This window comes from Homo sapiens, chromosome 1 (genome assembly GCF_000001405.40).
Source record: "Homo sapiens chromosome 1, GRCh38.p14 Primary Assembly".
Lineage (NCBI taxonomy): Eukaryota > Metazoa > Chordata > Mammalia > Primates > Hominidae > Homo > Homo sapiens.
Genome location: NC_000001.11, coordinates 171090905 through 171117852, shown reverse-complemented (window position 1 = coordinate 171117852; position 26948 = coordinate 171090905). Strand labels below are relative to the sequence as shown.

Genomic DNA, 26948 nt, shown 5'->3' with positions numbered 1-26948 from the left:
AATAGCTTATAGAAGTAGCCTGAGAGTATCATATTATAATTATTCTGCTTAATTTGCTCTTTATTTAGATTTAAAATACATCTTTCATACATTGTTTAAAAGGAAAAAGGAATCATGTCAAAATGTTTCAGGAAATGATTTAAGTTAGATATAAAGAACATAGTTCTGATTTTGAAGTGTTAGTGGAACTCAAACAGAAATGATTAGTGCTCTCTTAAGATCATGACATGATTCTTAAAGTGGCTATTTCAGAGCCTAGAAATAACACTGTATTACTGACTAATGTCTACAGAGTACTGCAAAAGATGCTGAATAGAAAAGCAGGTGGTGTGAAAATTTTAATTTTTAAATAGCAAAGCCCCTGTCTGGGTATTGTCAGTAACTTTCAGAAATCCTAGAGAAAATGATGATTAGGTCAACACAAGGAAAACAGCGATTAACAGAATAGGAATTGCAAAGAGCTTCAGCCAATGGAAAAAGAAGCAAGGCTTCTGAAGTCTCCCGACCACTCGTGTCTGCATGGGTTTCAACGACCGGTCCCACTGGGTCAGTATGGCATTTCTGGCTCCTGGCCACTGCCCTGGGCCCACCAGCCTAAACTGGTAGGGACTACAAGGGCCAAAATAAACTTCCATGGCCAATTTGGGATCTGTGAGAAACAGCCATGGGATGTTGGGCTTTGCCCCAATGAAGGAGGAGAGTTCATCCATATAAACAATGTAATCTGTCTGTATGGTCTCGCTTTTGCCAAACCTGGAGATGGGAGAGAAAACACCACTGTGGATACCCAAACTCTGTGTAGAAACAGAACAGAGAAAATGGCTCGCAACTTTATATCAGTGAGAATTAACATCAATCTCTCTCTCTTTCTAAAAAAATTTCCCACACTACCCTGACATACAACATCAATTTCTTGTATAAGGAGAATGTCATTTGTTTATCCTACTTTGTGGTTTTTTTAAAGAACTTTCATATGGTTTCATTTGGAAATACCCCAACACTGCAATGCAGCTGAGAAAGACATTTTTTATCCTTATTTACAAATGGATAGATTGCCTCTTGCTCAAATGACCCTTCTATAATAGTTCATGGCCACTGAGCTAATTAGTGACAACTAGAAATGGAGCCCAGTTCTCCAGATTCATTCTCACTTTTCTGAGTCATTTTCATTAGAGGTATACCTTTGAAATATCCTCTACATCTTAGAGAATTTATGGGCTAGAGAATGGAAGTCCACATCCATGTGTTCCCAAACTCCTCTGATTTCAAATCCTTTCTGGGTCTCCTTTCTATGATATATATTACAGGAGGCATGGAGGGCTAAAACTGTCTATGTAATGTAGATTCTCAATCCTATTATTTACTCTGTGCCTTGTACTAAAAAGAACTTAATACAATGTCAGAAGCAACGTAGGTCTTCAATTAATATTTGTTGAATGGATGAATATAGCTTGTAGTTGTCATTCCAATGATGTCATTCAGGATAATTTAAGATTAAAACAGTTCCAAGCATTCATAAATTCTCACTTTTCTATGGAAATCCTACACTCCTATTACAATAGGTACTCTTACCATTTGCGCTTTTTCTCCATTTTCTCATTAATATCATTCATCATGTCTTCCATAGAAGGCAAAGTACAAGTTCCTGATAAAGAAGGAAAGACACGATGGTAATTAATGAGTCTGGCATAGGACCAGCCTGTAATTTTCCCTTTTTAATAATGAGTTATGAATTACATTAATTGGTGTTCATTTTCAGACAGACACCAAATTCAGTTCTAGTCTTCTCAGAACTCATATTTGTCATAATAATTAAAAAACATTACCTAAATAGCTTTGCTCTTAAACTGGTTACAAGATGTTTCAAAACAGTTTCATAGATATATTTTAATCTCAGTCATATTTTAAGAATGTTGTCTTTTAAATTATAGCCAAACAGAGGTGAATTGGCATCACTTTTCCAAGATTTATGAAGAAAAATCTTCATAGAAATTAATCCTGCTTTGCCAGAAAATGGAATTTCCAGAAGATAAGATATCGAATTTGGTGAAGGGCTAAGTTTTTCTATGGGAAGCCAGTAGTTCTTGAATATGACTGAGGATATGGACTGTCCACAAGTCACCAAGGACATAAGGGAGACCCAGGAGACTAGATCTGACTTGGGGCTGCCCCAGGATCCAGGTTTACATAAGTTTGCAGAGTTCTCTAAAACCCAGACCAAAACAGCCTTTTGTGTCCAGAAATACTTCAAATTTAGGATGATTTCTTTGGTAATCTTGGTATCAACTTGAAAGAGAATAAAACTCTTAGCCCAGATATGATTACTCAAGACCTACAATGGCTTGCTTAATTTCCCATTTCTACACTTCTTATAGGGAGGGTCACTTGAACAGCTTTTGTAGATATGGTATGGTTCCAGGCCTTGGAACTTGTCATGCTTTTCAGAGGAAGAGATTGAAAAGAAAGAGACTGTTTTTTAGCCTGCCGACTACTGCCATTGGGTTGCTTGTAACTAGCCCCTCTTGTCTTGGTACTCTGGTTTTCCAAATCTAGGTTGTTTGCCTTGTGTCTCATTTCCCTTAAGAGAGCCTGTGCCGTGTACATCAATTTTCCCCATAAATTGCCTTGTTTCCTTTCTTCAGAGCCCAAGTTACAACTCTTGTCCTCATAGAGAGTAAGGGTAGCACCCTTCCTTTAATGCCAGCCTCTCTGGGTCTGAACCCTAAGTGGAATCCTGAGTGAAATTTCATGCCATTACCTTCCTGGCTACCTGGTCGTGTGATCTGCATCTCCCCACAACTGTATTCCAGCCTGCTGCTGGGGGATGCTGCCTGCCTTTCTTGCCTGACCCCAATCAAGTTTGTTGTTTCCTTTGTAAAATATAAGAACTCAGTATTCTTATGTATTACAGACTGATCATCTACTACACTGAGCACTTTCTGCCTCTATTGATCCACTGTTTGTTCTTAGCACTTTCTGCCTCTGTTGATCCACTGTTTGTCCTTTTTTTGTCAGGGAAGAAAATAATAGTAGAAAAGCCATTGCCTTCCAGCAATCATATTTTCCATGACTGTGGATATTTGAAGTTGGCTGGATGTTGGCTCGTAAACATATTTTCTTATGAACTTTTCAAGCAATGTAATTCTACTGAGTTTTGCAATCATAATTTTATAAAGTTGTCATTCACTTAGTCTTAAGTGGATGTGAGCTTTGGTGGTCTCAAGTCTAATAAATGATCTTGGGTAATTATCAGCTGTAAGAAGTTGTAGTCACAAAATGCCTCCTCTAATAATATCTTGTAGTATTTCATACAATAATCCAAACTGGTATACTTTAAATTGCTAACAAAATATAGCACTAAAGAATATAGAATTATAAATTTTCAAAACTGAAGGGGACCTTGTAACTAGGATTATTGTTTTCACAAAGATCCAAAGTTATTGTCACTGGCATTCATCTTCGCAATCCATGAGCCTCTTTATTGACTTACCCTTTATTACTTGTGCTGCCCAGCGGGACTGGAGGTCAACTGTGGGAATGGCAGCCCCAAGGGACTGGACAAAGCCAATCACTGCTATGGTTGACTTCTCAAGTAGAGGAGGAAATACTCCTTTAAATAAAATGATCTCATTGTTTCTGCTTTTGATGATAGACTCATCAAGGAAGGGGTAGGCAAAACTATACCCTGTTGCAAAGATTACACAGTCAATGCCCTCAAATATGGTCCCATCCTCAAAAATGGCCGAGGTCTCTGTGAATTCCTTCACGTTAGGCTTTACGGACACAATGCCACACAGAATGCTTGCTGGGAGCTCATCGTTAAATACAGGCTCTTTCCTCAGGACTCTGTATGGAAAACAGAGACAATTATTGGAAGTGTAATATTTCCCTCTTGTTTTATTGGTCCATATATAAATTGATAAGGAAGGAAAAAATGACCCAAGATTTTTTTTTTCTGAGGCATAGAGTATCTCCAATATGGCTGAAGAACAAAATTGATGGGAGGCAACATTGGGAAGTAAGAGAAGTTGTTATTTGCTGGCCCCATCTCTATTTTCTGTGATCCTTCTCTTCCATGGAGCTCTTTCCAAATCCCGGAATAAAGGCTTATGCCCAGTTCCCTGTTAAAGCCTGTTTCAGGAAAAACTCTGAAGTGAGGGTACCTCGGTGTTTACATTTTTAAAGTTGCTACTTATTCAGTGGGAACCTTGATGAGATTATGTTTTTTAAATTCTTGGTGTCTCATATTTCTCATCTGGAATGTCAGTAATGTTTGTACTACCTCAGAAGTTCCCTAAATGATATAAAGAGTTTTGCACAGTCTCTAGCATATGCATGGAGCTCGAAAATGTTAACTGTTATTCTTAATTCAGTATACTCCAAGATGGTCATCATACTGTGGAGAAGACCAAATAGGAGGAGGAAAGTCAAAGGTGTGAGAGCTGCAGCTGGGCTCTTGAGGGATGAAGTATGAGCCCCATGCAGACAGAGGCACCAATCAGGTGAAGGAGGGAGCACCCAGGAATTTAAATAAGGCCAGAGGGAGGGTGCCAGTTTGAGGCTTTGGCAACTGCAAGTCTGGAAAGAGAGAGCTTTGGACTACTTTTTATTCAATAATATCTGTAGTGGGAGCAGAGAAATCTGAACCCAGGGATGAATGTGAATACAGTTGAAGGAAAGAGTGTTGTTCTTGTATGGCTGTGGGAGCTGTGAGAGAGTGCTACAGGCAGATTCCACTGGAGAACAAACTCCATCACCACGCTGAAACTGCTCTTGTCAAGGCCATCAGAATCAGGCTCCCAGATCCAGTGGTCCACCCTCACTTTCCCTTTTACTCAACTTAGCATTTAACATAATTGATGGTTTCCTCTTTCTTGAAACACTGTATTCATTTTGTTTCCAGGTCATCACTCTCTCTCAGTTCCTTTCCTACTTTGCTGGCTATTCTTTTTCTGTCTCCCACAGATGTCTTCTCCTCTTCCTGACTTCTGACAATGGCATACCTCAGGACTCAGTCCCCAGACCTTTAGTCTCCTCCATTTACATGCATTCTTCAAGAGATGTCATCTAGTTCCATTTCTTCAGGAAAAATTTTCTCATGACTCCAGAGTTTTAACTTCTGGTTTGAGCCTCCCTCCTGTCTTGTGTTTCCCACTGCTGGCTCAACATTCTTCTACCAGAATGTCTAATAGGCATTCCAACTTTAATATGTCTAAAACTGAACTTCTGTTCCTCCTGCAGTTTTTCACATTTTAGTAAACGTCAATGTCATCCTTTTTCAAATATCTTGAAGACATTCTTACTCCCTCCTTGCTCTCTCATCCTCTATCCAGTCCACAGAAAATCCTATTTGGGTCGACCTTCAAGCTATCCAGAAATCTGCCCAATTCTGACCACTCACTGCTAACAATTTTGGTCCAGACCAACATCCCCTCTGATTCAGGTTTTTGAGAGTAGCTTTTTAACTGGTCCTTTCACTTCCTTCCTTGCCCTACCCTTACATTGAATGATGACCACAGCAGCCGATCAATCTCTGCAATGCTAATTTAGGTCTTGTAATTCATTTGCTCAGATGCCTGCTGTAGTTTCCCATTGCTTTCAGAGTAAAAGCCAGAGTCCTTACAATGATCTACAAGGCCCACGCCATCCAACAATTTTTATGTCTCTGGTTTTATCTCCTGGCATTCTCCCCTCATTCTCTTTTCTCAAGGAAGAGAAGCCCCATTGTTGTTTGTTGATCATGCCAGCCCTGCCCGTAAATGCCCTGGCTGTGTCCTCAGTCTGGAATACCCTTCCCCTGAGACCCTCATGGCTCATTCCCTCAACTCCTTCAGAGGTTTTCTTAAAAGTCTCCTCCCTGAGACATACTCTGAGGACTCTATTGGAAATTGTCCTGACAGCACTTGCCATTACCTTTATCTGCTTTGTTTTCTTCCCCAAAGCACACATCGCCATATGATCTTATGCTATTGTTTGTCTGTTTCCCACCACTTAGAATGTAGGTTCCATGAGGACAGGGATTTTTGCATGTTTTGTCCACTACTATATCCACAGGGCTAAACACAGGATGTGGCATATAATAAACGTGTAATAAATGTTTGTCAAATTAATGAATTCACTTTGATGAAAACAGCTCGTAACTTGGGTTTTTCACCTCTTGTCAAAGTCATTTCTTGTTATGTTACTGGCTTGGAGGACGTTATAGGAGAAGATGGGAAGGAGACTGAAGATGCAAGCATTGGTAAGTATGTGTTTAGTGAGAGGGGGTCCATTAAGGGGTGGGTGATGAAACGAAGAGGGAAAGGTAGGACATGAAACGTTCTCCTGATGTGCTTAACTTTGCCATTAAGTGACAGGTAGTAGAGCAAGTGGCCAAGACTGAGAGGCTCTAGAATCAGCAGATCTGGGTTTGTTTTGAACGCTGCTTCTACTTCCTGGCTGTGGGACCTTAGTAAAGTTATTAACTACACTGAAACGCAGTTATCTCATCTCTAAAATGGAGATACTAGTAGAGCTCTCTTCATAATTGTAAGGATAAAATGAAATAATATATGCCAGAGCCTTAGCAGAGTCTTGCTAAATCTCTGACATGTATAAAATGCTTAAAAGAGGTTAACTTTGATTATCATTACTCCCGGGACTAATTCCTGAGGCATTATATAATTTTCCAGCTGTGTAAATATAGTAAGGAGGATTGCAAAATAGGAAATCACTCTTAATTTGTGCAGTTCTTTATCTTCTGATATATGAGTTGTGATTGCTAATACTTTGATTTGTTTTGGGCTTACAGGACATTAAGGGTTGTTGACACTGAACTAAAAGCCAGCAGGCATATCACGTTTAGCTCTGCATTACCCATTTAAAGGCATCAAGCCATAGTTTTCATGCTTGAATCTTGCATTCATCTGCTTCACGTACAACCAGTCAGAGATGGCTGTCGGTAAATTGTTCTTGAGGAAGGTTCCAAATCGAGTGACGAGCAGCATGTCCCAAGGATAACCATTGTCCCAGACCCGGCTCATCACCCAGGAGCCACTTCTGGAACTGATCATGACCTTAAAAAACACCAATTCAACCATGAAATTAGTGACCATTTGTAGTGGATATTCTGGTGAGCACCCCAGATCCCTCTTGAGGAATGGATCTATTACCCCAGCTGCAGAAAGTGGTGTCAGAAGACATCTCTCAGCTGTCAGTCCTTTTTGACCATTGCTTTGGCTGAAGAGAGGGGCCTCACCCAACATCTTCTACTCTTTCTGAGTTTCCTCCATCTAGTGACTGGTCAATGCGGGCGTATAAAGGCCCAGTCCCTCACCTCAAATTGGGGCAATGCCAAAGGACCATCCCAGCTTCAAAGTAAATGGAAGCTTCCTTCCCTTCCTGTGGAAGTATTGATCCTGAGAGTGTTCCCAAATAAACGTCTGAACTTTACATCTACATCTTAGGGTCAGCCACCCTGTCACAGTGCTGCAGGCAAATTTTCATATTTTAATCAATCTCTGCTACAGGTGACTAATAACTGAATTCTAGTCACGTTTTCCCTAGCACTTATCTAACTATTGCTGTCTACAAATAAGCAATTATGATCTCAAAATAGGCATTTTAAAGCAAAATGCCTGCTACTATCTGGAAAGAAGGTGAGAAATTTGGAATCAGAAAACCATACGCTCAAACGCTGGCTCTCCTACTTATTAATGATGTGATTTGAAAAAATTCCTTTAACTTCTCTAATCTTGTTCCCTCATTCCTAAAATGGAGAGAATCGAATTTGCCTCATCAAATTTGTGTAAGCGTTAATTCGATGTGATAAACTATGTCACATGGCTAACGTTACCTGGCAGATAGTATGTGCTCAGTAAATGTCAGTTTCCTTTCCTTCCCCTTCTGTTATGCTAATCCATAATAGTGTAGTTTTCAGGCTTTCTTTGTCTTTTTTAAAACCAATTTTTATATGCCATATCACTTCAAGGCATTTGTTATAAGAGGAACTAGACAAGAAGAGACTAAAGGAGTCCGGGCATGGTGGCTCACGCCTATAATCCCAGAATTTTGGGAGGCCTAGGTGGGCAGATCATCTGAGGTCAGGAGTTCAAGACCAGCCTGGCCAATATGGTGAAACCCTGTCTCTACTAAAAATACAAAAAGTAGCTGGGTATGGGGTGTGGTGGTGGGTGCCTGTAATCCCAGCTACTCAGGAGGCTGAGATGGGAGAATTGCTTGAACCTGGGAGACGGAGGTTGCAGTGAGCCGAGATTGTGCCACTGCACTCCAGCCTGGGCAACAGAGTGAGACTCTGTCTCCAAAAAAAAAAAAAAAAAAAAAAAAAGAAGAGACTAAAGGATCAATTAATTAAATAGCCTCTGAAATTGATCTTCCCTTTAATTTATCACATATGCAAATAATCACATATACAAATAGAAATCTGTGAAAACTATGAGTTCATCATAAATTTCCTAAACCCAAGAAGCTGAAATAATGATTTACCTTTATTTACACAGAAATCTATTTTATCCTGTCATTCAAGTCCTTAAAATATGTGATATAATCTGATCCCAATCTTTCTTTCCTGTAACGCAATCCTATGACTACTGTTCCTTGGATTCGGAAGCTTTGGCTTTCAGTTCTGTAACCCTTCAGTGGCTCAAACATTAATTTTCTCAATGACTTTCAAGAAGACAATTGACATTTCTGGTCCTCATTTATCCTTTCTGTTATAAAACTACTTTCTTCCCACAAGCAAAGGAGCCCATTTACAGGAAGGTATTTGAGTACCATAATGCATCATACAAATTGTTAGCATTAAGAACCTCCATTCCAGCAAGATGAAACTATAACCTACAATAGTAAAATATACAATGCTCATTTTCTTGTCTTCTTGCCTCTGCTTGTGGCATTTCCAATTCTAAGAACAGCTTCTGTCGCCTCTTCAGTCTCATGATTTATATTTATTGTTCAAGGACTGGTTCTATTCTACCTCCTTTGTGAAGCATCCAGTTTTGGAATCATAGCATTTAGTGCCTGAATCACTTGTTTATCCTTTTTTTCCAGTGGCAGCTCTTGTTCCAGAGCAGGGATCATGCCTGTTATGTTCACCACTGTCTTCAGCACCCAACCCAGTGCCTGGCACATAGTAGGCCCTCAATAAGTAGTCATTGAATAAATGTGTGCCTGCATCATAAATGAATGAATAAATGAGCCACTCTGTATTGCTTAAGTCTTGTTCAAAAGCTTTAACTTTATAACAAGCCCAGAAGTAGGTTCTATTTTTATCTGTTTTACCATTGAGAAACCTGCCTCAGAGAGATTGAAGGACTTGCCCGAGTCTAAGAGTCATAACCTTCACCCTAAATCTGTGCTAGTTTTAGAGAAATTGATCCGAGATATTAGGCATCAAATGTCTTGAAGAAGGAGATTGTTGAATGACAGTTACTCCTTGCTGATGTTCTGCCTTTGTCTATGAAGTGATTTAAAACCTCACCTGTTACTTGGGGAAGCTCAGCTATGTGAAATACCACTTAGTCTTTACATCAGATACCCTTCCCTCCTCCCCCACATTTCATATCACACCTTTCAAACGATAATAACTCTTCTGTCAGTAACGAGAGTCACCCGAGTACCCGGGGAGTAGTACCTGTTCTGCTGTGCGGCTGAGTTCTGTGGCAATATCACAGCCCGAATTCCCCAGGCCAACCACCAGGACACGCTTTCCATTGAATACACCTGGTTCTTTATAGTCCCTGCTGTGGAAGCATTTGCCTTTAAAGTGGTTTAGTCCTGAGTGAAAAGTGAGAAATACATGGCAGTTTGAGTCATATATTTAAACAAAGACTTTAACAGAAGCGACCTTGTGAATAGATGCAGTCACAATAATGTGCTATTTTAACACACCAAGCATATTAGATATAACAGAAGTATATTTTAATTTAACCTGCTTATACTTTTAGAAAAAAGAAGACATTATCAAGATATTCATTTTTGTCAGTTATGTGGCTAGCAGCTTAAATTTTGGCCTTACCTGGAAAGGACTCTTTTGGTAGGTTGGGATACACATGATGTCCGGAACAAACCATTACAGCATCAAAGACAGCCGATTCTTTTTTACCATCCCTTTCAGTGGTAACATCCCACTGGCCAGTAGTTGCAAAATCAGGATGTTTATTTACACTGGATACAAATGTCTAAGAGAAATACAGAAAGAAATCCCTCTTTTCTATGCTAGCAAATGGTTTTGGCAGATACAGTATGAAAAAAGAAAAGTGGGTTAAGAAAAATATTTAATGATTAAGATACATATTACAAATTTAAAATTCCCTCAGAATAAATCAAAACACTAAATGGTATCTGTCTATTTGTCCCTGCATGATTTCTTGTGCATAACCAGTATCTTCTGGAGTACAAGAGTGACACCCCTTGGAGATATGGCAGTGAATTCAATTATAATTTATAAGAGGTGCACATCACATATACTAGAAAATCTGATGGCCAATGATGTTCTGGATCACATTCCTGTATGTTCTGGTTCAGTATATTAAAGATAACTCAAAGATAGATGTACTGAACCAGAATATATGAAAACGTGATCCAGAAAATTATTAGATTTGTTAAATTAAAGTTAAAACTATTAAATTCAAATTTCTAACACACTCCTAGGTGACGCTGATGTCACTTGGACTATACACTGAGTAGCTTTGACTAGATTATCGATAAATATTTGTTCACAGCTAAATGGCTGCCTGTTGGTGTGCTCCCTGTTTTAAAAAAATCTTTCAATTCTTCTGATTATATTGGAAAAAGAATCTCTATTTGGTATTAATTGTTCTTAAGAACTTTATTATGTACTATTTCATACATATAAGAAAATACACAAACACATATATGTTACATTTTTGTTAGTTATGAAATATAATAAAATGAGCACTTATGGACTCATAAGACCTAATACATAATTTGTTTAGAATAACTGTGGGATAATTTAGTTAATTAGTTATGCTATTATATATGGCAACTTTTTTTTGGATAGGTTTCTGTTTGCTGCTGGTTTACAGAAATGCAATTCATTTTTATATATTGATCTTATATACCACCACCTTGCCTAACTCTTTTTATATTGCTATGAATTCTAGTAATTTATATATTCTTTTGGATTTACTACATAGAGAATCACATTATCTTCAATAACTGTGTTTTACTTTCTTTTGAGTTGTCATTCTCTTTATTTTTCTTTACTTACTGCACTGTTTCTTAAATTTCTTAAGACTATTGAAAAGAAGTAAGTGCTATTGATAATAGTAATTAGGAATTCTTATCTTGTTCTGAAACTTTAAAGTGAATGCTTCTAACTTTTCATCATTTAGCACAGCACTGACCAGTACCAATATAGTATGAGCAACATATGCAATTACAAAATTTCTAAGACCAGGCATGGTGGCTTACGCCTGTAATCCCAGTGCTTTGGGAGGGTGAGGCAGGTAGATCACCTGACGTTGGGAGTTTGAGACCAGCCTGACCAACATGGAGAAACCCCATCTCTACTAAAAATACAAAATTAGTTGGGCATGGTGGTGCATGCCTGTAATCCTAGCTACTTGGGAGGCTGAGGCAGGAGAATCACTTGAACCTAGGAGGTGGAGGTTATGGTGAGCCGAGATCACACCATTGCACTCCAGCCTGGGCAGCAAGAGGGAAACTCCGTGTCAAAACAAAAAAAAAAAATTCTAATAGTCACATTAAAAACTGAAAAAAATGTATAATTTAACTCAATCTGTCTGATATGTTAACATTTCAAAATGTAATTAAAATTTATTAATAAGGTATTTTACTTTCCTTTTTTATAATAAGAGTTGGAAAGTTTTTGTATATTTTATACTTATAGCACATCTCAGTTTTGTGACTAGTGGCTACTATATTGAACAGTGCAGATTTAAGATAAATTAAGATAAAGATTAAGATAATGTTTGCGTATGTTTTGCTGGTTCAAGACAATTCTGCTCTAAGTTTGGCGAGAGTTTTCTTTTGATTTTCTTTTTTTATCTTTCATGCATAAATAGGTGTTAAACTTCAGTTAATGTAACTGAATTTTAAATTCTGAATTTGTTAAATAAACGTGGTTTTCTGCCTATAACAGGTTTTTGTAGTAAAATATATATTTATATTTCTTAGTATTAAAATACTCTTGCATACTTAGGCCAAACTCAATCAAGACAGTTAATCTCTTTTTTTTTTATTATACTTTAAGTTTTAGGGCACATGAGATACCATCTCACACCAGTTAGAATGGCGATCATTAAAAAGTCAGGAAACAACAGGTGCTGGAGAGGATGTGGAGAAATAGGAACACTTTTACACTGTTGGTGGGACCGTAAACTAGTTCAACCATTGTGGAAGTCAGTGTGGCGATTCCTCAGGGATCTAGGACTAGAAATACCATTTGACCCAGTTAATCTCTTTTAATACTCTGTTGGATTCATTTTTGAAGGATTTTTACATTGATTTTCATGAAGGAGATTGGCCTGTAATTTTCCTATTTCATATTATCTTGTCTGCTTTTGATGTAAAGGTAATAATGTCATAAAATAACTTTGGAAATCATATCTCATTTTCAAGTCTCTGAAAGTTTCTAAAATATTGAAATAACTTGTTCACTGCAAGTTTGGAAGTACTCACCCATGGAACTGTTTATTTTCTTTATGGGAAGATTTTTAATTTCTAGGTCAAAAGAACTATAAATCATCAAATGACAATTCAGGCTTTCTACTTATTATTGAGTGAGTTTTGATAAGATTTTTTTAAAAAATTGAGAAAATTTAACCAACTTAAAATATTACTTGGCAAACACTTTTATAGTATTCTTGTTATATTTTTTAATTCATCTGTATCCATTTTGTCTATCCTTTCCTTCGCAATATTATTTATTTGTGCCTTTGATTATTTTTTCCTTACACTGCCAGCTTTTTATCTATTGTTTATTTATTTATTTTTTGAGATAGGGTCTCACTCTGTCGCCCAGGCTGGAGTGCAGTGGCGTGATCTCAGCTCACTGCAACCTCTACCTCCCGAGCTCAAGCAATCCTCCCACCTCAACCTCCCTAGTAGCTGGGACCACAGGCATGTGCCACCACATCCAGCTAATTTTTGTATTTTTTGTAGAGACATGGTTTCTCCATGTCACCCAGGCTAGTTTCCAACTCCTGGACTCAAGCAATCTGCCTGCCTTGTCCTCCCAAAGTGTTGGGACTATAAGATGGGCCATTGCACTTGGCTCCTGTTGTTTATTTTATTAGTCCTTTCAAATAATTAACTTTCAATTTGTACATATGCTTTTTTACATTTTATAAATTTATTTTATATCCCCTTCATTCTATGTTCTTTGAGTTTATTCTGTCTTTCTTTTACTAATTTTTTTAAACTTTCTTACCTTATTTTTAAACTTTTTCATTTTCTAATATAAACATTTACATTTATAATTTTCATGAAAATATAGCTTCCTATGTTTCCCACAAGTATTGATACATAGACTAAATTAACATTCAGTTATAGATATTTTTAAATTCCCATTGAAATTTCTTCTTTGACCTATATGTTATTTAGATAAAAAGAGTTTTTAATTTCCAAATTCACAGGTATTTTATATTTATTTCTTTGGTATTGATTTCTAAATTAGTAGTGATTTAGTCTAAGAACTGTAGGTGGTCAAATTTTGTGAATTTTCTATGTATCCTTGAGAAGAAGGTAATTCTCTAAACCTAGAGTTAGAGAGGCCACACTGTTAAAAATGTTGACAAATTAGAAAGGGAAACTGAAAGGAACAAATGAGAATCCAGTAGTAGACATAGACTTCTTCAGCATTATGACAAGAGCTAAATTGTTGATAACATCTTACCTTAAATTGTATGTACTTCAGGAGGTTCTTTTCTTTGGCAAATGCAATGATATATTCCTGGATCTTGCTGTTGTGCATAAAGTTGGGGAAGTCATCGGGAAATGGGAAGTCTGGGAAACACATCATCTCTTTGGAAGAGTTGGAAAAGACTGATTTGTAAATGCTAGCCCTGCCCTCCTCTGCATGGTCCTGTGAATGTATAGTATCAAATGGAAGCGAATTGGTAAATGAGTATACTGATCATGGTCAGGGCTGGTTCCAAGTAATTACAGTCATCCCTTGGTATCTATGGAAGGTTCCAGGACCTCCGTGGTTACCAAAATCTACGAATGCTCAAGTCTCTTACATAAAATGATATAGTATTTTCGTATAACCTATATACAGATACTTTAAATCATCTCTAGGTTACTTATAATACCTAATGCAATGTAAATGCTTAATGAATAGTTGTAGTGTATTGTTTTTTGATTTTGATTTTGATTTTTTATTTTTATTTTTGGATTTTTTAAATCAATGGTGGGTTGAATCTGTGGATGCAGAACTTGCAAAAACAGATGGCCAAGTGTATACTTATTTGAGTCATCCTTTATCCACAGTAAATTCGGTAAGACACACATAAATTAACTTCACTTCAACAATTGATGCTAATCATGGAAACTTACTAAGGGAACTTAGGATATGGAAGAATACCTTTCTTAATATCTTTTAAGAAAATATATCTTAATCTTTTCTAAGGGAAACAAATTTTAAATTTCATTATGTCCTTTAGGCCTATGTAACTAGAATCCTTTCATTCCCTTGAACCATTAAATATGGTGACAGAGATTTTTCAAAATTCAACCTTGCATAATTTCAATGTGTCAACTCATGAGCACAAGCATCTAATGGTCAATTTATAAAAGCAAACAGTAACAAGAGGTTGCAACTATTGATCAGATTTGTAAATGTAAGCATTTTAAGACCTAATTTTTAAAAAATTAACCTTAGAATTTCTATAATGTATAAAATAAGGTTAACTATTTTGAATCTAACACAGAATTTATGGGCATTGCATGCCTTTTAAGCACTTATGTAAGTAACAAAGTTTTAGCTTTCAATGATGTAAAAATATCTGAATTTTCTTTAACTCTAAGGAATTATAGAACTATGCTAATAAAGCCTTAGAGGAAATGTTAAGTGATGATGAATAAAGAAAAAGAACATTGAAGAAAGAATGATCAGTAATGAGAAGTTTAGGATATTGTGTTGTGGTTCTTTAGCCACACACTGAAATAAACTGGGAGCTTTAAAAAACACACTGAGCATTAGGTCCCACTCTCAGAGAATTTGATTTAATTGACAGCAAGTTTTAAAAGCTCTTCAGGTAATTTTAAGGTGCAGCCAAGTTTGTCAGTCACAATGTAGAGTTCAACAAATGGAAGCTCATGACCAACAGGCTACAGTTACTGTGGAAGAGCTTACCATAGGACACATCTGTTACAGCTGTGAGCTCTGCAAAGCAAGCTGTTGAATGAATAAAAGGCATTAAGTTAAAAAAAAATACTGGTTGGAGCATGATTAGGAAGAGGTGGAGCCTTGGTTTAGCTCTGTTGAAGCATCAAGGTACTTATATCTCAAGTTTCATGATGAAAGATCAGATTGTAGATCTCTATGTGTAGTTGCTAGTTCATAGTGGAAAGTACTGAGCACTAGAAACTTCTAATTAGAGCTCATCTAACTGAAAGTTGTCAGGGCTCCCAGAACATGAAATTTTAGTATAATATTGGAATATTACAATCACGTCAAAAGCCAATGTGGCTGCAGTTTCATTATTGACAAATAATTAATTGGCAGATTAGTTGCCATGTTCATTTCAGAAAGCAGCGTGTTCTTTAAATAGGACATGAGTTTTCTGCTGCTCACATGGTTTGTTGACTCTGCTATAGGCATGTGGGATGGGGAAGTGCAAAAATTTGTAGCTTTCTGTGAGTTGGGTAAGTTTAAAGAGATGATAATCAGCATAAAGAGAGAAGAAACATTAAAGAAAAAAATTGATACATAGTCCAGAAAAAAATCAGAGGAAGTTAAAAAAGGGAGGTATTCCCAGAAGAAAGCCACTATTCATAAAACTTCATGCAAAAATTCATATGATTTACTGATTTATTGTTTGGGGAGCTCCTGAGAAAAGAGGACATTTTGCCCAGATCCGTGGCCTATTCAGAAATGTGGCCTGTGATTAGGCCGCAGATCTGGGTGAAATGTCCTCCTTCTGTGACCAAAGAAGGTGAGGGAAATACATCATCGTGGCTCTAGATCAGGGTTAGAAGTCAGAACTAGAAGGGCATAGAAAGTGCTGTAGTAAACAGCTCCAACAGTTTCAACTATATGCACCCTTAGTGTTAGCTAAGTTTTAACCAATGTTTGGATCTCTCTGAAATTTAAAAAAAGTTAAGATAATGTAAAATGATGATGTTAGAAACCAAAGGGAAGGCAAATACAAAATTAGAACAATTTTATAACAATCTTATAATGTGAATACTAAGCCTATTGCTGCAGACTTCTAGTGATCTGAGAAACACTGCTGTTTGCTCCATCATTTGCAATCTATAAGCCCCCTCACAGTAGTAAAATAGGAAACGCTGAAAAACCAAAGGTATTAGTTTCTTGTGGCTGCTGTAATAAATTACCACAAAGTTAATGGCTTAAAATAATAGCAATTGATTCACAGTTCTAGAAGTCAGCAGTCGGGAATCACTATCAGTAGGCTGAAAACGAAGTGTGACAGTACCATGTTCATTTTCAGAGGCTCCAGGAGAGAATCCATTCCTTGCCGCTTCTGGCTTCTGGTGGATGCTGGCATTTCTTATTTTTTTCAGTGGCAAGACCCCTCTTGTACGCCTTCACTCATGGCTCCTCTGGCCATCATCAAAGATAGAGCATAGCATCTTCAAATTTCTCTCTTTCTGTTGAGGTCATCACATCACCTTCTCTCTTCTCTTTGTGTTAAATCTCCCTCTGCCTCTCTCTTTTAACGATGCATTCATTATAGCGTTTGGGGCTCACCCACATAATGCAGAAAAATCTCTCCATCTTAAGATTTTTAACTTAATTATATTTGCAAATACCCTTTTCTCTTGTAAGTAAGATAACATTTACAGGTTCCAGGAATTTGGATGTGATATCTTTGAGGAGGGGCATTGTTAAATTGTTCAGCCTATTACAGGCCATCCTCTGGTTCCCAAGGATTCACATCCATCCCATCTGCAAAATACATTAACCCAATCCCAACATCCTCAAAGTCTCAACCCATAGCAGCATGAAATCAAGTCTCAACTCTCATTTATATATTTTCAATTCAAAAGTCCAAAATCTCATCATCATATAAATTATCTAAATCAGGTATAAATGAGACTCTGGATATGGACCAGGATGAGGCAAAATTTCTATCTGTGAACCTGTGAAACTAGAAAACAAGTTATCTTCTTCCAAAATACAATGGTGGGACAAGCATGGGTAACCGTTATCGACATTCCCATTTAACCGGGGAGGAAAAAGGAGGAAAGAAAAGAATCACTAATCCCAAGCAATTTTGAAATCCAGTAGGACAAATTCCTTCAGGCTTGAAGGCTTTGGCTCAGGCCTCTGCCCTCAGGGCCTGAGGCTCTACCCTCTGGGCTATCCTTTCTTTTTCTTGAAGGGTAGCACATGTTGCAGTTCAGTTTTATCAACCTATGCTGCCAGGTTCAAATTTTAAAGTCTTCCTCGAGCAGCAAGAAAAGACAAATTAGCTGTCTTTGGCTGTGTTCCTCTCAATAGCCATATCAGCAGTGCGTTCTATCTTCAGCAACGTCTTGCAAACTAAATTTGAGTATGAGGCTTTGGTTAAGATCACTGTGTATAAGATATGGCTGGCCAGGAGTGGTGGCTCATGCCTATAATTCCAGCACTTTGGGAGGCCGAGGCGGGTGTATCACCTGATGTCAGGAGTTCGAGACCAGCCTGGCCAACATGGCGAAACCCCATCTCTACTAAAAATACAAAAATTAGCGGGGCGTGATGGCACACACCTGTAATCCCAACTATTCGGGAGGCTGAGGCAGGAGAATCCCTTGATCCCAGGAGGTGGAGGTTGTAGTGAGCTCAGATTGTGCCATTGCACTCCAGCCTGGGCAACAAGAGAGAAACTCTGTCTAAAAAAAAAGAAGAAGAAAAAAGAAAAAAAAAAAAAAAAAAAAGAAAGACATGGTCAGCTCGATAGGCCACTTGGTGAAATGGCAACCAGCAATTTACAAAGGAGTTAAGAATAGACTAGAGAGAAAGGCAAGCTTGAATTGGGATCTTTTCTCCACCATTATCAGCTGTATGATTTTTTTTCTTTTCTTTTAAAGCTTCAAATTCATTTGTAAAAGGAAAAAAAATATACCTAGCTTATAGGATTACTATAAATATTTAATTAAATAGAAAAAGTCATGTGTCATATAGAAAGTGCTTGATAAAATAGCCCTAAGTTTGGCCACAAAGAAACAAAAATAACAACAACCAAAAAGCCCTAAGAATCACCAGTGTGTTAATCTGAAGCCCTGTCAACACATTTTAATAACATACAGTAGGCTCCACAACATTGTATAAGATGTTGGGGGGTTTCACACCACACCTAATCCAAAATTGACCACATAGTTGGAAGTAAAGCACTCCTCAGCAAATGTAAAAGAACAGAAATTATAACAAACTGTCTCTCAGACCACAGTGCAATCAAACTAGAACTCAGGATTAAGAAACTCATTCAAAACCGCTCAACTACGTGGAAACTGAACAACCTTCTCCTGAATGACTACTGGGTACATAATGAAATGAAGGCGGAAATAAAGATGTTCTTTGAAACCAACGAGAACAAAGACACAGCATACCAGAATCTCTGGGACACATTTAAAGCAGTGTGTAGAGGGAAATTGATAGCACTAAATGCCCACAAGAGAAAGCAGGAAAGATCTAAAATTGACACCCTAACATCACAATTAAAAGAACTAGAGAAGATATATCTCAAAATAATAAGAGCTGTTTATGACAAACCCACAGCCAATATCATACTGAATGGGCAAAAACTGGAGGCATTCCCTCTGAAAACTGGCACAAGACAGGGATGCCCTCTCACACCACTCCTATTCAACATAGTGTTGGAAGTTCTGGCCAGGGAAATCAGGCAGGAGAAAGAAATAAAGCATGTTCAATTAGGAAAAGAGGAAGTCAAATTGTCCTTGTTTGCAGATGACATGATTGTATATCTAGAAAACCCCATCGTCTCAGCCCAAAATCTCCTTAAGCTGATAAGCTACTTCAGCAAAATCTCAGGATAGAAAATCAGTGTGCAAAAATCACAAGCATTCTTATACCCCAATAACAGACAAACAAAGAGCCAAATCATGAGTGAACTCCCATTCACAATTGCTTCAAAGAGAATAAAATACCTAGGAATCCAACTTACAAGGGATGTGAAAGACCTCTTCAAGGAGAACTACAAACCACTGCTCAACAAAATGAAAGAGGACACAAACAAATGGAAGAACATTCCATGCTCATGGATAGGAAGAATCAATATTGTGAAAATGGCCATACTGCCCAAGGTAATTTATAGATTCAATGCCATCCCCATCAAGCTACCAATGACTTTCTTCACATAATTGAAAAAACTACTTTAAAGTTCATATGGAACCAAAAAAGAGCCCGCATTGCCAAGTCAATCCTAAGCCAAAAGAATAAAGCTGGAGGCATCACACTACCTGACTTCAAACTATACTACAAGGCTACAGTAACCAAAACAGCATGGTACTGGTACCAAAACAGAGATATAAACCAGTGGAACAGAACAGAGCCCTCAGAAATAATACCACACATCTACAACTATCTGATCTTTGACAAACCTGACAAAAACAAGAAATGGGGAAAGGATGCCCTATTTAACAAATGGTGCTGGGAAAACTGGCTAGCCATATGTAGAAAGCTGAAACTGGATCCCTTACTTACACCTTATACAAAAATTAATTCAAATGGATTAAAGACTTAAATGTTAGACCTAAAACCATAAAAAACCTAGAAGAAAACCTAGGCATTACCATTCAGGACATAGGCACGGGCAAGGACTTCATGTCTAAAATACCAAAAGCAATGGCAACAAAAGCCAAAATTGACAAATGGGATCTAATTAAACTAAAGAGCTTCTGCACAGCAAAAGAAACTACCATCAGAGTGAACAGGCAACCCATAAAATGGGAGAAAATTTTCGCAACCTACTCATCTGACAAAGGGCTAATATCTAGAATCTACAATGAACTCAAACAAATTTACAAGAAAAAAACAAACAACCCCATCAAAAAGTGGGTGAAGGACATGAGCAGACAGTTCTCAAAAGAAGACATTTATGCAGCCAAAAAACACATGAAAAAATGCTCACCATCACTGACCATCAGAGAAATGCAAATCAAAACCAAAATGAGATATCATCTCACACCAGTTAGAATGGCAGTCATTAAAAAGTCAGGAAACAACAGGTGCTGGAGAGGATGTGGAGAAATAGGAACACTTTTACACTGTTGGTGGGACTGTAAACTAGTTCAACCATTGTGGAAGTCAGTGTGGCGATTCCTCAGGGATCTAGAACTAGAAATACCATTTGACCCAGCCATCCCATTACTGGGTATATACCCAAAGGACTATAAATCATGCTGCTATAAAGACACATGCACACGTATGTTTATTGCAGCACTATTCTCAATAGCAAAGACTTGGAACCAACCCAAATGTCCAACAATGATAGACTGGATTAAGAAAATGTGGCACATATACACCATGGAATACTATGCAGCCATAAAAAATGATGAGTTCATGTCCTTTGTAGGGACATGGATGAAGCTGGAAACCATCATTCTCAGCAAACTATCACAAGGACAAAAAACCAAACACCACATGTTCTCACTCATAGATGGGAATTGAACAATGAGAACACTTGGACACAGGAAGGGGAATATCACACACTGGGGCCTGTTGTGGGGCGGGGGGAGTGGGGAGGGATAGCATTAGGAGATATACCTAATGCTAAATGACAAGTTAATGGGTGCCGCACACCAACATGGCACATGTATACATATGTAACAAACCTGCACATTGTGCACATGTACCCTAGAACTTAAAGTATAATTACAAATATATATATTTTTAATATAATTATATTAATTATATATTTTTAATATAATTATATTAATTATATATATTTTTAATATAATTATATTAATTTTTATATAATTATATTAATTATATTTTAAATATAAAATATATATTTTAAATATAAAATATATTATGTATTTAATATATAAAGTATATTATGTATTTAATATATAAAGTATATTATGTATTTAATATATAAAGTATAGTATGTATTTAATATATAAAGTATAGTATGTATTTAATATATAAAGTATATTATGTATTTAATATATAAAGTATATTATGTATTTAATATATAAAATATATTATGTATTTAATATATATTTAATATATAAAATATGTAATATATATTATATATAACATATATAATATATATGTAATTATATATAACATATATATAATTATAATATATATATTTTTATATATTTATATATATTTATATATTTTATATATTATATATAAATATTATATATGATATATAATAGATATATAATATATATAATATTTATATATATAAAATTATATAATATGTATGAAATAATATATTTTATGTATTTATATATAAATATTATATTGATATAAATATATATTAATATATTATATATAATTATATATATTATATATTCATATCAATATATAATAATTACTATATTATTAATATATAATAATTAATTATATAAAAATATTAATATATATTATATATTAATATATAATATATATTATATATTTATATATAATATATATTATATATTAATATATAATATGTATATTAATATATAAAAATATATAAAATATATCTATATAATTATAAATATATAATTATAATACATAAATATATATTATATATAATTATATAAATATATATTTATACATATTATAATTATATATAATATAATTATATTTTATATATATTTATATTATATATATAATTATATGTTTATATATTTAATCTATATAGTTATATAAATATATATTTATATTTTTTATATATTTAATATATAAATATATATTAAATATATATTTATATTATTATAGATATATATAAAAGAAACATACCATATTTTTAAGAAAAGATGCTGGGTGGTTTCAAGAGTTTTTTGCAGTCTGCAAAATATCTATATTAATAAGAATGATATCTCATGTCTTTATAATATTTAAACAGCTGTTACAGACACTGTTTCATTAAATACAACCTTTTCATTGAGGTAAATAATATAATACTGATTTTGCATTTGAGGAGGAAATAGTGGCTTAAAAGGGTCATTAATCTTCCTAAATTTGCATATATATTAATGGGTTTATCAGAAGAAGAAAAATAAGACTCAGGCAATAAGGCTGGAAGACTGTACTGATTGAGTGGAGAACATAGGGAAGCCCCATTCCTGCTGCTGTTTGGCAACACATGAAGTGATTTAATGAGTGCATACATGCATGTCTGCTAATAGAACCCTTATTACATATGCACGGGACAAAGGGGCATTGAAGAACTTCAAAGCAATTCTCAGTTTTGTAGTTTCACAAGACCAAAGTCAGCACCTGAAACTTTAAAATCCATGGTCCCAATCACTTTGGTAGCCTCACCAAATGAATGGGAAAAGCCAACAACAATGGAAAAATTATCTAGGAACCCATTTAACCAGAGGTGCAAGATCTCTTTGGGGAAAACCACAAAACATGAATAAAAGAAATTGTAGCTGACACAAATGGTAAAACATCTCATGCTCATGGATTGGAAGGGCCAATATCATTAAAATAACCATATGCCCAAAAGACTTAATGCAATTTCTAACAAAATATCAATGCCATTTTTTACAGAATTAGAACAATTCTAAAAATTCATATGGAACCAAAAAAGCCCAAATAACCTCAGCAATTCTAAGCAAAAAGAACAAAACTGGAGGCATCATATTACCTGACTTCAAATTATACTACAAGGCTATAGTAATTAAAATAGCATGGTACTGGTATAAACATAGACACATAGATCAGTGGAACAGAATAGAGAAGTCAGAAATAAAGCCTCATCCCTATAGCCAACTGATCTTCAGCAAAGTTGACAATAGCATATGCTGGGGAAAGGACACCCTATTCAGTACATTGTGCTTGGAAAATTAGATAGCCATACGCAGAATGAAAGTGGACCCCTATCTCTCACCATATACAAAAATGAACTCAAGAGAGATTAAAGACTTAAATGTAAGATCTGAAACTATAAAAATTCTAGAAAAAAATAGGTAAAACTCTTTTACCTAGGCTATGACTAAGAATTTATGACTAAGGCCTCAAAAGCAAATGTAATAAAAATAGACAATCTAAAAATCTTTTTCGCATAAAGAGAAATAATTAACAGAGTGAACAGACTACCTTCAGAATGGGAGACAATATTTGCAAGCTATGCATTCAACAAAAGACAAATATCAGAATTTATAAGGAACTCAAGCAACTCAATTTTAAAGAAGCACAGATAACACCATTACAAAGGGGAAAAAGGAGATAAATAAGCATTTTTCAAAAAAAGACATACCAATGGCCAATAAACATATGGGAAAATGCTTAACATCACGAATTACCAGAGAAAATGCAAATTAAAACCGCAATAAAATACTATCTTACACCAGTCAGAATGGCTATTATTAAAAAGTCAAAAAGGCCAGGCGCAGTGGCTCATGCTGGTAATCCCAGCACTTTGGGAGTCCGAGGCCGGCAGATCACCTGAGCTGAGGAGTTTGAGACCAGCTTTGTCAACATGGCGAAACTCTGTCTCTACTAAAAATACAAAAATTAGCTGGGTGTGGGCACCTGTAACCCCAGCTACTCGGGAGGCTGAGGTAGGAGAATCGTTTGAACCCAGGAGGTGGAGGCTGCAGTGAACTGAGATGGCGCCACTGCCCTCCAGCCTGGGAGACAGAGTGAGACTCCCACTCAAAAAAAAAAAAAAAAAAAAAAAAAGATATTAGTGAGTATGTGGAGAAAAGGAAACACTGTTGGTTGGAATATAAACTATAGAAAACAGTATGGAGATTTCACAAAGAATTAAAAATAGAACTACCATTTGACCCAACAATGCCCCTAGTAGATATCTATCCAAAGGAAAAGAAGTCATTATATAAAAAAAATTCCTGCACCCATATGTTTATCGCAGCACCATTCACAATAGCAAAGAAATGGAATCAACCTTGTTGTCCAATAAGGATGATTGGATAAAGAAAATGTGGTATATACATACATATATGTATATATACACACAGACGCATATACATATATATGTATGTATATATGCACACACCATGGAATACTACCCAGCGAGAATACAGAATGAAATTATGTCTTCTGCAGCAACATGGATGGGACTGGAGGCCATTATCTTAAGTGAAATAACTCAGAAACAGAAAGTGAAATACCACATATTCTCTCACTTACGATTGGGAGCTACATAATGTATACACATTGACATAGAATGTGGGAATAATAGACATTGGAGACTTGGAAGGGTAGGAGAGTGGGAGGCGGTTGAGGTATGAGAAATTACTTAATGGGTGCAATGTACATTATTTGGGTCATGGCTACACAAAAGCCCAGACTTAACTGCTATACATTATATCCATGTAATAAAACTGCACTTGTACCCCCTAAATCTGTAAAAAAAAAAAAAGATGTGAAAAGTTATTGTGTTTTAAATGAGTAAATAATTATAACTACATAAACCTAACTAATATTTACCACTAATTTTATGTCCAAGTGGCTCTTATTAATGATCTATCAAGGGAGAACTGTAATGGAGAATTTCAAAGCCCATTGTCTAATTTACTTCTGACTTGCAAGGAGGTTACTTTCCAACCTGCTCTTGACACTGTACTTAGTGGATTCCAATTCTAACAGATATGATAACTGCCATGGTAGCAGGTTTGGAAACCTGTGTGCACACAGTGTGCTCTTATACACTTCCCAACCTATTTTCCTGTCTATTACAACAACATGCTACTCACTGAAAATTTCCACAGGCCCCCAATGTCATTGCTCTTCTCAAAGCAGGTGGGCTCCAGCCCCTCTTCCAGACAGCTCCTGATGGAGGCCAAGCCACTCACACCAGCTCCAATGATGGCCACTTTCTTCCCCATGGTAACCTGTGCAAAGGCCCAGAGAACATTTCCAGTAACAACATTGCTGAAAATGTATTTACTTATTTATCTATTTATTTTGATTTCGCTCTTTGGCTTAATAAAAACTTTACTTTTTAATAAACACTGGCTGAGTATGGTAGCTCACGCCTGTAATCCCAGCACTTTGGGAGGCTGAGGTGGGAGGATCACTTGAGCCCAGGAGTTTGAAAGCAGCCTGGACAACAGAGTGAGACCCTGTCTCCACAAAACAAAACAAAAAACAAACAAAATCAGCTGGGTGTGGTGGCACATGCCTGTACTCCCAGCTACTCAGGAGGCTGAGGCGGTAGGATCACTTGAGTTCAGGAGTTCCAGGCTGCAGTGAGCCGTGATTGTACCACTGCACTCCAGCCTGGGTGACAGAGTAAGACCTTGTCTCTAGAAAACAAATTCCTTTTAGTGATCTAACTACATTTTCATTTCTCTCTAATTTCTAAAGAGAAAGTTTTCTTCTGAAAAAAAAATAAGCACTTTGTTTTTAGTCATCAGCTCTCCAAAATTAAGAGACTGATGACCCAGCATACATATTTATCTTTTTTGCTTTTGGACTTTGTCATTTACTGTCTACCAAAAAGAGTAAGCAGAAGAAATAAAGATTCGCAACTAAAACACCTGTAGACACATCCACCCACCCACCCACATACATATGCCTGTATATGGGAATGAAGAAACACATATGTATATGTATACACACACACAGTCATACACACACACACACACACACGCAATCTGTATCTTCTTTTTACTTAGATACGGATAATGAGGAACAAGGTCTGAAGATGTCTGTATTTCAGTGTGCCAGGTAGTCACCCCTTCTCCCCATCAATAATGTACTTCACCTTCTCAATTAAAAAGACAAGTAAATGGTGCATACCTATAGTCCCAGCTACTCTGGGATTATATAGTCCTGTTGAGCTGGGGTATCGCTTGAGCCCAGGAGTTTGAGGCTGCAGTGAGCTATGGTTACAGCACTGCACTGTAGCCTAGGTGACAGAGTGAGACCTTCTCTCCGGGGGGTGTTGGGGAAAGAAGTCATGTTCTTACCTAAAAACAATTTTTTCCCACTACCTTCAGCGTCCATTCCCCTCTAAGAAAATTACGTTTCCTAACTTTTTTCTGTTCCTGACACTGTCTTTAGGCTCTACCACTACTTCTTTCACTACTTTTTTTTTTCTTTTTAGACAAAATCACATAGCTATGCAGGGAAATAGACTTGGATGATTAAACATCATGATCCGTGATTCCCAGAAACAAACAAACTGCCTGAATTATATCATTCTCATTCTAGCCATATTTGGTATAAAACTACAGCATGCTCCTTCTTCATTTACCCATCCCACCCTCAACCCTTTACTATATCACCTTTTATTCTTTTTCTTTTCTTTTTTTTTTTGAGACGGAGTTTCGCTTTTATCCAGGTTGGAGTACAATGGTGTGATCTCGGCTCACTGCAACCTCTGCCTCCCAGATTCAAGTGATTCTCCTGCCTCAGCCTCCCAAGTAGCTGGGATTACAGGCATGCACCACTACGCCTGGCTAATTTTTGTATCTTTGGTAGAGATTTGGTTTCACCATGTTGGTCAGGCTGGTCTCAAGCTCCTGACCTCAGGTGATCCACCCGCCTCAGCCTCCTACCTTTTTAATTTTCCTACCCGTTCTTTGTCTTCTTTTCTTCTGTGTGTCTACGTCCTGTCCAACCGTCTGGGCAGTTT

At 36.5% G+C, this 26948-nt stretch overlaps 1 protein-coding gene and 2 non-coding genes across 7 annotated transcripts, besides 1 other annotated feature; 1 reads left to right on the top strand and 2 right to left on the bottom strand.

The window, feature by feature from the left end:
* Window positions 34–26948, bottom strand: FMO3 (flavin containing dimethylaniline monoxygenase 3). Of its 5 annotated transcripts, NM_001319173.2 has the most exons (10): window positions 26889–26948; window positions 25063–25200; window positions 16647–16773; window positions 13880–14068; window positions 10016–10178; window positions 9632–9774; window positions 6856–7055; window positions 3491–3846; window positions 1573–1645; window positions 34–753 (listed from the first exon to the last, which is right to left on the bottom strand). In NM_001319173.2, the coding sequence occupies exons 3-10, from the start codon at window positions 16716–16718 to the stop codon at window positions 411–413; spliced, it is 1539 nt and encodes a 512-aa protein (NP_001306102.1). In that variant the 5' UTR covers window positions 16719–16773; window positions 25063–25200; window positions 26889–26948; the 3' UTR covers window positions 34–410. The 5 variants fall into 5 exon arrangements, with proteins under 5 accessions (NP_001306102.1, NP_001002294.1, NP_008825.4 ...); NM_001002294.3 differs by lacking the exon at window positions 16647–16773 and having other exon boundaries at window positions 26872–26948; NM_006894.6 differs by lacking the exon at window positions 16647–16773.
* Window positions 8951–10150: an enhancer, noted in NCBI's record as "BRD4-independent group 4 enhancer chr1:171076844-171078043 (GRCh37/hg19 assembly coordinates)". NCBI's record gives its function as "activates an origin of replication core promoter dependent on BRD2, P300/CBP, MED14 and CDK7 cofactors, and independent of BRD4, by STARR-seq in HCT116 cells {active_cell/tissue: HCT116}" and the evidence as "EXISTENCE:reporter gene assay evidence [ECO:0000049][PMID:35650434]".
* On the top strand, window positions 16047–16125 carry MIR1295A (microRNA 1295a). The gene has a single exon (NR_031627.1). It is a non-coding gene; the product is annotated as a microRNA 1295a (primary transcript).
* MIR1295B (microRNA 1295b) lies at window positions 16055–16114 on the bottom strand. Its single transcript, NR_049854.1, has one exon. It is a non-coding gene; the product is annotated as a microRNA 1295b (primary transcript).